The following is a 16,690-nucleotide window of genomic DNA, read 5'->3' on the forward strand; positions in this document are numbered from 1 at the left end:
GGGGGACATCTAGTTTTGTCTTCAATCATTGTAAACTTTACTTGTTTCCTGTTTCTGAAGACAACCTATGATTCGTAATTCAAGTGAAACAGATATTGTTTAAGGAAACTTCTATCCATTATGGGTAAATATGATACATATATATTTCTCTCCTCTCCCTTTCATTTTTGGTAGGTGTAATGTACCATTCCTCAGGCAATTTTTAAAAAATAGCATGACTTATATGAGAACATACTTTGTGCTTGATAACGTAGTAATTATATTTGTGTCTAGCAAGCTAATGGGACTTCATTAACTAAAGCAAGCAAATAAGAACCATTTAGGGTTTCCATTCATGCTATGCCCAGATGAATCATGCCATTGAGAAGAGGCTTCTTTGATCACACAAGTTCATATACAATGACTCTCAGTTGGAACTTTGTTTGAACCAATCCGTGTCCCCTCTCAGAGAGTATGACTGCATTTGTAGTTTACAGGCTATGTGCAGGCACAGTTCAGAGAAACCCCACATCTCAAATCTTATCACCTTTCTGGAACTTTTCATTTTTTCTGGGCTTTCAAATACATGCTGCTGCTGGAGTCCCACACAACTAGACACACACACTTTTACTTTAGGATACCATTGGAGACACAGTTGTGTATTTCATATGTCAATATACTTAAGCCCAGTTCACTTACACACAGACAGCATGATAAAGATTGCTCCCAGTTGGTCAGACTCAAATGACTGCCACTGTGGTCCACCAGAGATACTGGTGAGGACTTACTCAGCCTGCATCCATCTCAGTAACTTTAGAAATGGCATTTTCAAATATATTTCGTACATACAAAAAAATATTAGCCATATGGGATGGGGAACAGAGAGGTGATCTAGAAAGGATAATGCTGGATATTTGGTTCTGGGAGCAAGCCAAATCATTTTCTGGTATACTTAGGACAAGTCATGCCTACATCACAACATGCCTTCACCACAAGATAAAAGGACTCAAAGGCCAAAAGCCAACAGCAGAGGTGCAACCACTGTGGACCTTTAAGATGCAAAGTGTTGCAGTAACTTCTTGCAGTTGGATCATATCAATAATACCAAACTGACAGGAAGCCACCTCTATTTATACACATGTACTCAAAAAAACAACAGAAGAATCAGATTTTGGAAAAAGATACAGACAAATACACACGCACAGACACACACACACACACAATTACAAACACAAACACATGACAGTGATTACAATCACAGAGAAAAGTAACTTGAAAAGATGAACAAGTAGGCATCTCAACAGTATGTTTTCAACAATATTGTCTTAGATAACACATTATTGAAAAGCTATCCTGGAACTATTAACCCAAAAGTTTTTTTTTAAATGCCATTGATGATGATTTAGTCATGCTTCATGCAATGTAAAACAGCAGCAAAACAGGGTGAAATCACATGGTGAAAATTGAGAAACTTCATATTAAGAAATATGCCCAAACACACTAGGAAAAAAAAGCCATGAGTCTGTCTCAATAAACAGTACTAACTCTGTAAATCAAGTGTGATAATCTGGCAATTTAATAGCAGTGTTCTAAGACTATACTGAGCACTGCCCAAGAAATAAAATATTCAAAATGTTATCACCAAAATAAATGTAAGGAAAAATAGAAGTGTAAGGGCTTGGTCTCTGTTTTGTGGATAAAAGGACAGGAATTCTGCTCTATAGACAAGAAACTCGACACAGGGAGGAGGAGGTCACTGGGAATGTGGAAGTGGTATGTAGACAAAATGGCACTAGAGTGCAATGGACATCAAGACACGTCAGGACAATACAGAAACAGACACAAAGGGCTGGAGAGAAGCATCCTCCTGTTCAACTTTAATAGTATTTGTTCCCATTATTGGTGCCATGACTGAAAACAGGAGTGTGCCTTTCCTTTCTTAGGTTTCCTGCAAAGAAGTTAGTGCGTCATCCAAAAGAACCAACAAATCAAACAGGAACAGAAATAGGCTACTTCCAATTTATGTACTCTAGTTGGAGAGGGGTGTGTGTGTATATATATATATATATATATATATATATATATATATATACACACACACATATATAATATAGATACACCAGACAAGGGAATGAGATTATATATACATATATATAATCTCTCTCTTCTTGAATTCTTGGCAAATGGTTAGTCCTGTGGTTAGGAGTGAAGATAGAGGGTGGAGGTTGGAAGAAAAGTTAACGAAGAGTGCATACCGCTTTCGGCTTCTGCAAAACGACAAGAAAAGAATTTAAAATCAAACAATTTGATAATAAATCGACTGACACCAGAAGGAAAGAAGGAATAAAACCTTTGTTTCAAATCACTTGAAGGATGCATGTGAAAACAAGGTTTTTTGGCAAAGCATGAAAACAGTATCATGGGGTGAAACCAACAACAAAGGCAGTTAAACACAGGTTAAAGAAGGTGGGAAGGAGAAACAGGTCCTTTGAATTTTCACACCCAGTCAGTTAGAAAATGTGAGAGGGAAAGAAGTGGGACATGTTTAAATAAAGAAAAACATTAAAATTATTATCTCAGGGAAGATTTTAAAAAATGTGTGTTTTCACGTGGATATTGTGTTTGATAAGTCCTGTGTTTTCTCAGAGGCATGATCCACATTCCCTCAAACACACCTTTTTCCACAAGAACCAATGTGCTTCCACACTGAGACCAAGCCACATTTGAGAATTAAAGCTGGCAACTGCACAAAGAAAGCCCAAACAAAGCCAAACAAGTCCTTTTTGCCCTTTTCTGAAGAAAAAAAAAATATATATATATATATATATACTAAAAACTATATCTACAAATATGGCTTTGTTGAAAACATCTCAGAATTGTGACTCAATTGAAGGGCCTATCCAAGAAAAGTTTCATCTTCAGGGAGTGCTCTGAGTTAGTTTTCTTAGAATAGTGACATTGAGTTCACAATGAACCATTAACAGCCTTTCGCTCTTTTTCTCTCCTTGGAACCAAAAGGCAACAAGTGAAAGACAACTGCTCAAGGTTCAGGGTGCAATCTCCTGCAGTCAGATTATTCCAGAATGGTCGAAAAACACTATGCAGCATCAGCATCACCCACATCATGACATTTTTTTTTGAAAGATGCACAAAAGTAAATAGAGAACACTGAGTTACACAAAGATTTGCGATTTCGCAACACGGGGAATATCATTTGCAAAAATCCAGGATACATACAGTTCCCCTACACAGGTACAAGTGAGTATTGGCAAAAACATGGGTAAACAGTAACCCCAGAAAATTCCACCTCATCTGCTGAACAACTAATAATCAGGACTGTCAGTTTTTGCAAACAATATTCTTCACTTTGCCAACATGAAAAAGAAAATATTTATCTATCTACATATTTGTTAACTGCTACAGCCATGTTCTACATATGGCCACCAAATCTACCATTTTTTTCTTCCTTTTGGTTGATTTGGGTTTTCAAAATAGCTTAACATTTGATCAGATTGACTTTGTGAGCAATCTGATCTGGTAGTTAAGGTAACAGAAAACATTGGATTGATCTGTTTACAATCCAGTGTTTTCTTTTCTTTTGTTTTGTCTTGTCATAGACACAGACTATACACTTGAAAGTCTGGCTGTATTGGGTTATTCACCCAGATAAGGAAAACTCCTTAAATGATGATAAAAGGAAACGTCTAGTCTTCCCCTGTACTCTGCTCAGTTATTAAGGTGTTTGTTGGAGGGGATCTGCACTCTACATTTGGGCATCTGCAGGATCAAAAATATGAACTATAGAGGAATAGACTGTGGGTGTCATTTCAGAGAACAAAAGCTTGAGCATTTCTCAATGAGCTCTCTTTCTTCCAAAACTATTGACAAGAACTGGGGAGCAAAAAAATCATCTCTATTTTATCTGTAAGGTGTACAGTACTCCATCAGCAAAATTTCTTGTTAGCACGATGCTTCCCACCTCCAGTGTGAACTCACATATTGACTGGGATGTTATCTATTTCAACCAGACCCAGTCCCTCATCAGTCTGATTTGCACATAATTAAGTGTAAAATAAATAAATAAAGAGAGCTCCTGCCTCTGAGCTCCACTCTCCTGGCTCATTTACATGAAGCTGATATTCTGCCACCTGGATTTTGGTTGCACCGGGAGAAGCACATATGGTACACAATAGGCTGCTTGTAATTTGGCTATCAAGAGAGTTGGTGTCTCCCCTCACAGCTCTACCCCAAGGCTGCTGTAAAGGAGGCCAGAGTCCACCTGCTTTTTTGCTCACAGCAGTAAAAAGGGGTTTTAAGTTCTGGTTTAATACTTAGAAGGTGAAAAGTCCAGGTCGGCATGATCAGGTGGAGATATTTTGAGGACTCATCCCTCTTCCCTGGAGAAACACTCTCTGAATGCCCAGCAGGGCTTTGGGTGCCAGGCTGGTCTGGCATAGAAGCTGCAGTGTCTGATGGGGCATGCCTCGAAATGTGCTCTAGGGTCAGAGAGGTTTTACATCTGGTTCCATGCAGATAAATAATGCACAAGAAAGCAGAAGTGAACCGACCGTTCTCAGAACGCACTCTCACCATCAAAAGTGTCAGCTGGCTGCTGGGTCACCGCAAACTTACCGGCTCTCTCGGTTGGCAGACTTGTACTCAATGGCTATCATTAGGAGCTTGAGCTTCACAAAACACAGCCTGCAATGAGATGGAGAAGCCTCCCAATCAGTTCTTCTGAATGACCAGAGCCACATAACACACACTATTACGATCTTTCGGTCTCCTAATGCAGTCATTACCGAGGGGATCCTCATTCCACCGGCACTGTGCCAAAGGGAGGGGGTGGAAGCAACACCTCCCCATCTTCCCTATTAAACCTGATTTCTTGCAAGTGATAAGGTGCTGGATGCTCAAAGTGCAAATTGCACTCAGGTCTGGCTGTCTAGACACAGAGCCCAAGCAGGAATTTGTGCCTGGGGATTTACTCTGGGCCAGATTCATTAGTTACTCGGTCGGGTAGTAAAATGTTAACTACAGGGGGAGGGAAAGATTTGGACCAGCTGGACCTGTTATTTGGATTCCGTTTCGGTCTTTTGTACAAATGGCTCATATTGTTGTTCCGAGCAGACCCCTGTGTGCTTGCAATGATGGTAATAATACTTGGCCTCTGTGTAAGTGCCCAGCACATGACGATGGCATTGTCACTCCTGGCTCCATCCAAGCTGTCTCACCTCATCTGCTTGGTGCTCTCGACTGCAGAGCAGACTGCTTTGAGGCTGGCTTGTTCCTGTTTCCATCCCTTCCCTTGTGCGTTCCCCACTCTCGATCCCTTCTTCTCTCTTCCCAACCCATCCTCACAGGCCACGTCAACTCTAATCTTGCAAGCAGTGGGTCTTCTCCAGCTACTGCTACCCTGTGATTTTCTATTCTCAAAACTCTCCCAGCACCTTGTCTGTAACCAAATCACTGAGCCTTTAGTCAATTTTACACTGGCTGTGGTCGCTCCCTATTGTTTCATGTGTCTGAACTTTGTCTCCTTAACCAGAGCAACTTCCTTAAGAGTCCTGGACTTGTTTGGAATTCTCCATAGTGCATAGTGAATAGACCCACCGATACAGAGAAGCTAAACAAACAAATGGTTTCCACTTACTGGGTTTCAAGTCTAAGAAAATAACAAAAGGTGCAGTAAAATGTTTATGCTTAAAGATTTTCAGAGTAAGTGTTATTTATATGGAGTAGAAAAATAGAAAACAACCTAAATGTCCAATAATAAGGCCATAAAGTACAGTGCAATATGGTACTAGCATTCTAAATGGCTTTTCAAAGAATATTTCAAGATATAAGATCAATAAATAATATCATATAAAAAGACATGAACATGTAAATAGAACAAATATATAAAAATACATGAATATGTAAATGGCACAATACAGTTAGATGAACCTATACACTTACATACTTACAGAATAAAAGCTCACATAAACAAAATAATTACATACATGATGTATGACAAGTGTCTACAATTAGCATTACCATTTTGAATAATAGAATATTGATTAACTGATAGACTGAACAATGAGTTGATGCTTATTTATTTAGCTCCAGCATTGTAAGGGGGATAAGATACTGGGTCACAGTGTGGGGAAGGCTTCCTTGTGGGTCAATTTAATCCCCTCAATATCCCTAAGAGGAAGCTATTACCCCAATTATTCAGACTTCTATTGATAGCTCCATTTTACACGTGATGAAACCAAGGATCAGAAAGTCCATGTAACATGCCTAAGGTCTCTAGCTAATACCTGGCAGGATACCCTACATCTTGATCTCCAGTGAAGCCTATTTTGTATTGGGAGAGACAGACAATAAGAAAATATACAAGTGAATAAACAATAAATTCCTAGATGATGACAAGTTCTATGTTGAAAATAAAACAACCTAAGAATATAAAGAGTAACTCAGAAGGGGTATATCATCTGTGATGGTTCAGGAGGACCATTCTGAGGATGCAGGGAGCACAACAGCATGATGAGAAGATATGGGGAAAGAGCTTTCTAGGAAGTAGAAACAGCAAGCACAGAGGCCCTGAGGCAGGGAAGAGCTCTGAGTGTTTGAGGATCAGCAATAAATTCAGTAAGACTGCAGCTGAGTGAGCAAAGTCAAGCGTGACAGTGATTAGGTCAGGAAATGAGGGGGGAGCAAGATCATGAGGTCTTTGCTTTCCAGAGCAAGGAGTCTACAGCTTATTATAAGTGGAATTGGGGGATTTTAGTTGGTTTAAAAGAGAAAAGTGACATAATCAGATGTGCTGGATAGGGGGATGTGTTGCTTTCAAGGAAAGTGCTGCTGAAGGCCTCATGCTCTCCAGGGAGTGAAACCAATTGCTCATTCCTACATGTGAGGTTGTGGTCCACAGCACTGCCTTCAGCAGACAGTCAGATGTCAAAGGACCACTTCTATCCAGGCATATCTGGGATCTCCTGGTGATTTGCAGGTTTTCTGATTCCTGCCAGCAGAATCTAATGACCTGGGCTTTGTGCTGATTATGCAGCTTGCTGAAACACCAACACACATATCCAACTACAGCTGGAAAATGCCATCCTTAATTTATGTCCCAAAGAGCACTGCTAACATGCACCCTTTATGGGACTGTTACTTCTGGAGCTTAAATTGTTTTTTTAAAAAATAAGATAGCTTATGCAATGTTTATTGAACCAAATTACCAAATTAAGTAACCACTTTCTAATGTAAATAGTAGCTAAATACAAAAACATCAGGGAGAAGGCTGATCTTAAACTTAGTATGGATCGTGCAAAGGTTAATTTGCTAATATCCTATGAGCAATGACCAGTCCACTTTGGGACTCTGGTAGTTCATGGGATCAAAGATCTTCATTGCTTTTATAAACCTAATCCCGCTGGTAAGAAGGGAAGTAACAGTTCGTAGTAATGGTGAATTATGTCTTCCTAGCTACTACAGTACCATCTACCAACTGGATATAAAAAGAAAAGAGTTTCCTCTACAAGAAAGTCCTAAGGTCTATGTGGCCTTGTATTCATTCCTTAACCTTATAGGGGATGGACCCGCAGATCTGAGTCCTCTTCCAGTTTTAAATCCATAACTTCAAAACATTCAAATCCATACCCAAGCTGATTCTACAATGCCTTATAGAAGCCCCTTTTAAAAAGTCCTTTGACCCAAAACAAGCTGTGGCCCACTGGCCAAAGGAAAGGAGAGGGATAGAATGATGTGAACAGAGAGAACATAGGCAAGCCGTGCCACAACACAGATTTTCAGACTCAAGCCCTTCAAGATTGGCTGATCTTGCCCTTCCTATGCAGATAACAAACTGAGCCCAAACAGAGGAGAGCAACTAGGTCAAGGTCAATTGACTTTTATGTAAAAAGCCAAAAGTGGAAATCGAGTCTTTGACGCAATGTGCTGCACAGATGCTTCTCATCAGAAGAGAGGAAATGAAGTGGCAGTCACAAGCCCAACAGGCAGACACATTCTGTTTGGTAAGTACAGTGTTTTTTAAAAAACTGTAAATAGATGCCAACAAGTGAATTCACATAGAAACTGGCTTTTCAGCTTTCCTTGCAAAATCAGATAGGGCCACATTGGCACCACATTCCACATGCTAAAAGGGAGTGCAGCTGTGAAGCACTTATCCCTCTGGATGGGATGTTTGTTCTCCAATGTGCCACAGTTCCCACCACTCTCTATTGTCTCAGATGGCCTCACTCTTCATTCTTTCTTGCTAACTGCCTGAACCCTATAGGTATCTAAGTTTTTAATCCCTACTATAATAGGTATCCTCTAGATATTGCAAAATACAAATCAAGTATAATACACCATGATTTACACTGGAAGCAAGAGCTATGGCTCCCTCTGTGAGTGTTCAAATCACACGTTTCTGTTAGATCCTGCCACAGAGAGTTGGCCAATGTCACAATCCTGGGCTTAAGGACTGCATCCTGTTGCAGAGATGCAGCCTCTGTTGGAGGTGTCCATTGGGGAAGAGCAGAGCAAGGTGAATGAACAGGGGAGCTGGTGTGGTAATCACTTGTTTGCTTATCTCTCCCCTCTAGACTGAGTTTTTCCTGTACAGGATGCATGCTTTGCCTCACTGGCATTTTGCAAAGTTCAAAGAGTAAGCCTTCAGTAAAGTCTGGATAAATAAATGCATGTATGAATGGGGAGTAGAATCTCATGACTGGCTGGAGGGATGGAGAAAAGATAAAGTGGCAAACTAGGAAAGTCTATGCAGAGAAAGCTTGGAAGTGAGTATAGAATCATGAAACAAGCTGCTTCTTAGCTTGTCTTATTTGTTAGAAGCAGACAGATGGGAAAGGAAGGATACAGAAGGAAATAAAAGTAGTGATATGCTCTGGGAATCTAATTTTTGCCTTCAATCCACAATGCCAAGATGCAAGTCCAATTCTAAGATACAACAATTTGTCCTTGGGACCTTCTAGAGACCCTCTTATACCCTTATGTACCCCTTACACTCCCAAGAATATATATACTTTCAGTATACCCAGAACTGATGTTCTCTGGTTAAACATTTACTTGCATCACTCAACACCATTTTTTGGTAAAGAAGAATGAGCATTAGCCATCTAATCCTTATTCTAATTCTGCCTTTACTCAACTTACAGTGTTTCAACATATACAGAATTGGTGTGAAATCAGGAAGCAGGGTGAGGTGAGGTAAGGGGAAAAAAGGAAGTAAGAAAGCCTTCACAATGTGATAAATGGGATAAAATCAGCCATAAGCTAGCAATAATTTAATTATTGGTTTCTAAAATAAAATGCCCCAGTATGTCCAACGCAGGAAGTTGTTGCTGGTTGCAAAAATAATTACAGGGGAATAGAAATGACTTCTTTTTTCAAGAAAAAAAATGCCACTTGTCACAAAAAGGTCTTAAGCCAGCAATCTGCAATAAAACTGTTATAATAACAAGTTAGATTGCTTTCTTGATAATTATTAGGTAAAGGTCTACCAAATTTGACAACGACATTATACAAAGCCCAACCCCCCTTTTTTTTTTTTACTGCCAACATCATCTGTTAACTACAGTAGTTTCAACCCAGATGTTCCTGAACAAAGGCTCTTAAGAATTAGAGTCCAACTGTTTCTGCCTACCCAGAGGGAAATACATTGTTCCTGCCATTAAATCAGCCCCCTTTACTGGAAACATTACTTGCTGGTGTTAATTAAACATGGAAACCTGTCATAGAGTTTGCACCTTCAGGAAGAAAATACAAAGAGGAGGTTTGGGGCTGTTGAAGAGGACTCACCCCACAAGTCAGGTGAGGGAGGATGAAAGAAGCAACTGTCATCATTCCCCCTGAACCCAACCCCACCCAAAGCACCAGCCCCTCTTCAGCTATCCAGAGGGCCCCTGGGAATGTCAGGTTGGCACATGCAATTGAAGTAGATACGGATACAAACACTGCACATTGGGAAACAAGGTCTTCTGGATCGAGGGGCTGGAATGGAAAAGATTCACATTCAGGAGCTTTAATTTAAAATGACAGCCGCTAGAAATCGAAATATCCAGGTAAAGAAACTTTGAAACATCCGGATTTCCAAGACTCAGCACCAAGAAAAGAGAAGTGATTTAAAATGTTCATGGAAATGTTAAGACTCTTTTTCTCTATGAAGCTTTGATAGGAGTGGAGTGGGAAGGTTTCAGAATATCCCCACCCTCTCTCCCACTCTCTTATTCTCTCCTTCTCTCTCTCTCTTTCACACACACACACAAACACACTCACACACACACAATCTCCACTAGCACACCTAAGACACTAGAATTTATAAATACATTACTTGATACAGACAATTAACTTTTGCCTAAAGTGTGAACAACTGCATTTTTAGAGAGCCTTGCTATTATTATTAATGAGAAACATAATATGAAAGAAAAAACCATGTGTTTGCTACAAGAACCCAGTGTTGAGTCAAAGCCCAAGCGTCCACCCCATTTCCAACAGGACTCCTTCCCTGACCCTTCTGTAGAGAATTCTGGACCCACCACTGCCTCAGTAGCCTGTTATTGAGGATTTCAATAGACTTTAGGGTCAACGGTTTATTCACTAGCTCATAGAAGGTCACCTCTTGGGTCTCTGTAGTAGAAATAACCACCAATACTGTATTCACATCTCTATTCATATATGTTCAACCCTAATTACAATACTCCCCAATCAAGTGGATGAATAGAGCCAGTTCTGTGAGGGGAAAATATTTTTTAAAAAATGAGATCTGCCAGGTGCGGTGGCTCACGCCTGTAATCCCAGCACTTTGGGAGGCCAAGGTGGGTGGATCGCCTGAGCTCAGGAGTTCAAGACCACCCAGGGCAACATGGTGAAACCCCGTATCTACTAAAAATACAAAAAAATTAACCGGTTGTGGTGGCACACGTCTCTAGTCCCAGCTACTTGGGAGGCTGAGGCAGGAGAATCTCTTGAGCCCCAGAGGACAAGGTTGCCGTGAGCTAAGATCACACCACTGCACTCGAGCTTGGGCTACAGAGTGAGACTCCATCTCAAAAAAAAAAAAAAAAAAAGAGAGAGATCTGAGCCTCTCCATAAATTCACTTAAAATGCTCATTTTTGCAGCCAGGCTAAAGAAATCTATCATATAACAATTGGGTCTGCCTGGTTTCTGCTCCATGTTCAAATTTGGATGTCTTTCTCCAAAAACTAATGATTTCACAGAACTGAAGTTAAACTAGCTACAGTTTTCACTGGGCAAGAGGCCCAGCTTTCGCCGGGCGGTCTTAAATTTTAAATTTCCCCAAGCGGCTTCTTTTTAAAGATCTGTCTGTGCAAAATAACACAGGTTGAGAGCATGATTTTCTGAATTTAGGAGGGGAGCACTGAATGCAGGGAGGTAGAGGAGGGAAAAGAGAATCCCCCTGCACTCTTAAACCAGCACAGTAGCATCCATACTTGCCCCTGGGCTTGGGGACAGAACTCCTGCCCTTCAGCACAGCTGAGGAAGATCTGATTGGAGTTCCCCAAGTTCCCCAGGCATTAAATACTCCACATCAAACCTGAATTTTAACTGCTCCATCAGCTGCAGAGGGACAGAGAGAGACACATACCATATTTTAAATACATCTTTTGTCCTAATCCCCTCTGAGCTGTAAAACCTGATACAATTAAGCTTTTATATTTTGCAAATGATGAATGACTGACTAATAGGTTCCCGGTGAGATTCAGAACCTAGAACACAGTGTTCTTGAGGCAGCCCAACTGCTGAACCCATGGTTTCCTGCAGCTCCTCCTTGTCCAGCCCCTCCCCTCCCCTCTGCCCTCCCTGGGGGTAGGGGAGTGCACCCTCGCTTTCGCAAGTGCTCACCAAAAACACTGTTATCAGTTTCCCCCAAAAAAATCACAAGTCAAAATAAATCTGATGCATCTCTTTGTCTCATCTAAAGAGGAAAGCAATTTGCTGTAACTGGAAAATCTCGGAGACCTAGGTGTTGAGAGAGCTCCCTATGGTACCAGGTGGCGCAGCCTCCAGATTCCCTACCACTTAGAATGTCCTCTTCCTTCTTTATCCCCCATCTGAATCAAAACTCCCGACAAGACACAGCTCAAATGTCATCTCTTCCAGGAAGAACCCCCATGTCCCCCCAGCCTACAGGGAGATGTCCCTATAACTCTCAGCATCTCTATTCCAGCTGTGTGCATCTACCACAGCACTTATCAGTGGGTGTCTAGATCTCTCTGACGATGGGTACTATTTCCCTTAGCCAGACAGTAAACTCTGGAGGCAGCCACCCTAGGGAAACTGAATATTTTACTTGGCATTTGTTGGCATTTGTAAGTATTGCTATTAATCTTTTCATGCACATATATTTGATCAAATCTAGTAGCAGTTTCCTCTAGAAGTGGCACCAAGCTTGGCACAATGGTGCACATATCCCAATTCATTAAATATCTGATTAATCGGTGATTAACCGATAAGAGAATTTCCTAAAGGTTAAAAGTAAATATAACTTGGATACACATATAGCTCGCAATGTGTTTCTTTCTTTCTAAGTGCTTCTATTATATTCAATGAGAAAGATAAAGGTAGAAGGAAAAGGAGAGGAGGGAGAGGGGAAAAGACATTAACCCGTACTGACAGATAAGTCATAGCACTCCTATTTCAGAGAAGGAGATTGGAGTAAGCATCTGTGATGGTTAATATTGAGTGTCAACTTGATTGGACTGAAGGATACAAAGTATTGTTCCTGGGTGTATCTGTGAGGGTGTTACCAAAGGAGATTAACATTTGAGTCTGTGGACTGGGAGAAGTAGATCCACCCTCACTCTGGATGGGCACAATCTAATCAGCGGCCAGCATGGCTAGGATAATGCAGGCAGAAGAAAGTGGAAGGACTAGACTTGTGAAGTCTTCCAGCCTTCATCTTTCTCCTGCGCTGGATGCTTCCTGCCCTTGAACATCACACTCCAAGTTCCTCAGCTTTTGGACTCTTGGACTTACACCAGTGATTTGCCAGGGGCTCTTGGGCCTTTGGCCACAGACTGAAGGCTACACTGAGAATCTCTTGGCTTGAAATTGATAGAGATAGCTTTCGGGGTGGCAGGACCTTCTGCCCCCACTGCCTCTTTTGCTCTCCTTCCTGTTCTCTTGGGAAACAATCTCAAATTTCACCCCTACATCCTGCTCCCATATCTTTTCATAGAATGACTCCCCTAGCTTCTGAGAAAACTCCAAGCTCTCCCAATCCCACCCTGCAAGGGAGCATTTTGCCAGCCTAGAGAAAAAGCACATTTATTTCTTTCCATGCTTTAAGATGTTATTGGCTGCATATTGTTTTAGCGCAGCGCATAATTACAGAAACTGCTCTGAAAATCTGTATATTTTATCTGTGCTTTATGATACCCAGAATATTCCCCAATTCTTTTTCTTCTTCGTGAACCAGCTTAAAATATATTTTGGCATCCTTTATGTCATTTTGAAATTGAATAGCCAATTCTTACTGTAATGAAAATACTTATGTGCCAGCCCAGTGATATACAACACTACACTCTAATTACGGCTGTGCTTTAATTAACCTGAATTGAAGAGTGTTATCATTAAACTGCTGGTAACTTTGAGTTATGGCTTTTCTTTAATTTAAAGTAGAAAACACAGATAATTAAGCCTCCAGATAATCAAATGCTTGAGGAGAGCTTCAATGTTTTGGGATGTTCCTAAATCTCATTAAATGTCCTTCTTTTATTGATCATTTCTACCTCTGCTGTATCATTGTATTAAACGAATAATAGCACTAAGTTGTACACATTCTCACTCACATCAGAAGTGGAATATATATATATTCCAGAAACTTTACTGAGCAAATACTAAATTATCTGACAACAATTTGTCTCCTTCTTGGGACATGTTCTAAATACAAAAATCAATCAAAGGGAATATTCACAGAGCCACTAGTGCCAGCTCTTGAGCTGGCTGAAGGCCAGTGAAGTTCCACACCACCCAGTGGGTCAGGGTTGGCAAACTCACACAACCACAGGGCCAGGCCTGGGATTTATGTGCAAATCTGGCCTGGTTTAAGATATCAGGGAGGAGTAACTACATGACTATACTAACCCCTTTGCTACATCAAACTGGAGCCAGTTAGCATTCTGAGGAAATGCAGGTCTTGCATTGTCACATTAGATTTTCTAAAGAATCCAGAAATCTAGTTTTTACGTGACATACTACTATTTGGAAATATCAGCAACTAGTTGATATCTACGTGAGTCAAACATACCTAGTGACTATCCCAGTTAGAGCCTGTAGGGGGAGCAGTCCTGACCCTTCAAGTTACCCATAAGAGGAACGGACTCAGTTCCCAAGAGCAGAGTAAGAGAAGGGTGGAAAAGCAAGAAGGGCCTGGGGGTTGGGGAGGGAGCACTCTTGTTAGATACAAACACCAGTTAGGCCAGGGAAACCCTACAGCCAAGGAAGGGGGCTTGACGGAGCCCCTGCTGACACCCTCACCAACATAAGACTCCCGCAGGCGCTGGCAGCTCTGCTATGTGCTCAGACCACCACCACATTAGACAGCCAAGGCTTCAATTGCCTTTTTATAAAACTAGCTTCTGTTAAAAAGCCTGCTTTCCCCCGGGGCTTTGTATCCTAGGCAGACCAAGCTCCAGGGAGGGGGAGATCCCCTGGGACAGCCTCAGTGTTCCAGGACCCAATGCCTCTGAATGCTTAACTCCTCTCAGTGGCAGGAAGAGAAATAGCTCTCAAAGAAAGGCACACATGGGAGTCACAATAGGGCATCCATTTTCAGAAAATAACTCCTTCCGAATCAATTACCTATTCACTTTTCCAGTCCATTTAGCATTAAAACTTTCGCTTAGAGACAGGGTGAGAAATTTCAGTAAACAGCCAAACCATTTTGGATTGCTTAGGGTCTGGGCCCAGGGACTGACAGAGTGCACCTGCTGTGTTCAGTGACAGGAGGCTCCAGGTAAACACGAAGCCACCAAGCGCTCCGCCTCCCTCCCTCCTGCATACAGAAAGAAAACCGTGATACAGAGGAGGCCAAGGGCACCCAGGACTGTCCCCTCCTTTGTGGTAAAGCCTGATCAGTTTTGTTTCGATGTCTTCAGACCTCTCTTTTGGTTTGTATGTAGGCAGGAAGTGCAAGCAAATGGCTTTTCTTCCTCAGCCCAGTGAGCTCCCAGATACCCCTGTTTCTTCCCAGTGAGAAGAATCCTTGTCAAATCCTTTGCTAAGGTGTCAGGAGAATAGGCTTAATGTTTCACCAACCTCAGGGAGTTTGTGTTTTCAGAGGGCACAAAGACCCCGTTCATCTTAAACTCAACATCTGAGATTTTTTATTATTATTATTTTAGAGATACAATCACTGCTATCCAGGCTGGAATGCAGTTGCGTAATCAACCTCCTGGGCAGCCTCAACCTCCTGGGCTCAAGCAATCCTTCTACCCCAGCCTCTAGAGTAGCTAGGACCATACGTGTGTGCCACCACACTCGGCTAATTTTCCTTATTTTTTGTAGAGATAAAGTCTCACTGTGTTGCCCAGGCTAGTCTTGAATGCCTAGCCTCAAGTGATCCTCTCACCTCAGCTTCTAAAAGTGGTGGGATTGCAAACATGAGGATTCTAAGTGAGGAATCTGAGGCACTGTCATGCCTCACGGCAGACACCTGGAGCTCTTGAGGTCATCCCCCATAGGTGACCATCTATTCTACCTGCAGTGGCCATGGCGGGTGGCTTTGATCCATCCTGCTGAGCCAGTGGAAAGAGAAGCTAAGACTTGTTATTATTATAACATGGCAGTTGTCTATGTGGGGGCTCAAGGCCTCCTTCTGTATATTTGGTTCCACATTTCCTCAGCAAAGGGTGAAAACACTTTGAATGGCTTTATTTCAGTAGCTTCTCTGTTGTCTCTATGATCAGACTTGATGGGAAGACAGATTAAAATTCCTTTCATTGAGGGGCTGGCAAGATTTGTTTTGCCCTCTTAGAATCAGACAGGCAGGGGTTTATGCCACTCTTCATAAATGTGTCTACATCACAGAAGGCATGCAGGATAACTGTAGTTCATAAGTTAGCATAAATGATGAATTCAAGTCCAAGACTCTCAGGCCTGTCAAGAAAAGTGGGGCCAGTGGAAATTCCCCAGGCAGAGGCCATGTAATGACCCACCCTCCTATTCATCACATGGGGCCGAGCACACGGGATACCCTCGGCAATTGTCAAGTGCTCCAACTGTACCCAGCAGAGGTGGGAGGCTTCCTTGCAAGGGGCACATTCAATATCCCTGAAAGCCAAAGAGCATCCAGTTAAAGGTCACTTACTCACAAACAGTAGGGAAGGACAGACCCACGAAGGCACTGGAGAGATATTCTGTGTACATTTCATTTGAGACTCCTTCCAAGTAGTATTTCTGCCATGTGTCTTCCTCAATCTAAAGGAAAGGAACACATGCGGAGAGTTTAAAATATGACGGTGGGCTGTAAAAGGGAAACCTGAGTTACACTCTTAGGCAAACAAATGAATGCACTGGTTAGATAATGGTGACCTTTTCAGCAATCAGGAACACGGCCTCTGCACCCATATAAAGCCTTCAATAACCCTAAACTCATAAAGTGTGTGCCCTCTAAAACACTTTTTTAACCTGTGTGATTTCTTTCCTTTTTCTTTTTTCTTTTTCTTTTTTTTTTTTTTTTTT

General features: G+C 41.6%; 1 protein-coding gene across 56 annotated transcripts in view; it reads right to left on the bottom strand.

Annotated features, from left to right (window-relative positions):
* Window positions 1–16,690, bottom strand: part of KCNMA1 (potassium calcium-activated channel subfamily M alpha 1) — a 768,207-nt gene that overhangs the window by 153,610 nt on the left and 597,907 nt on the right. For 33 of the 56 annotated variants that reach the window (XM_017016222.3, XM_024447990.2, NM_001322832.2 and 30 more), the window contains 2 exons: window positions 16,317–16,426; window positions 4,612–4,680 (listed from right to left, as the gene is read on the bottom strand). In XM_017016222.3, coding sequence (XP_016871711.2) covers window positions 4,612–4,680; window positions 16,317–16,426 — 179 coding nt within the window. Of the gene's footprint in view, window positions 1–2,234; window positions 2,247–4,611; window positions 4,681–16,316; window positions 16,427–16,690 lie in introns of all 56 variants that reach the window. The other 23 variants (NM_001271518.2, XM_024447989.2, XM_024447985.2 and 20 more) reach the window with 1 other exon arrangement.

This window comes from Homo sapiens, chromosome 10, assembly GCF_000001405.40.
Source record: "Homo sapiens chromosome 10, GRCh38.p14 Primary Assembly".
NCBI classification, from domain to species: domain Eukaryota; kingdom Metazoa; phylum Chordata; class Mammalia; order Primates; family Hominidae; genus Homo; species Homo sapiens.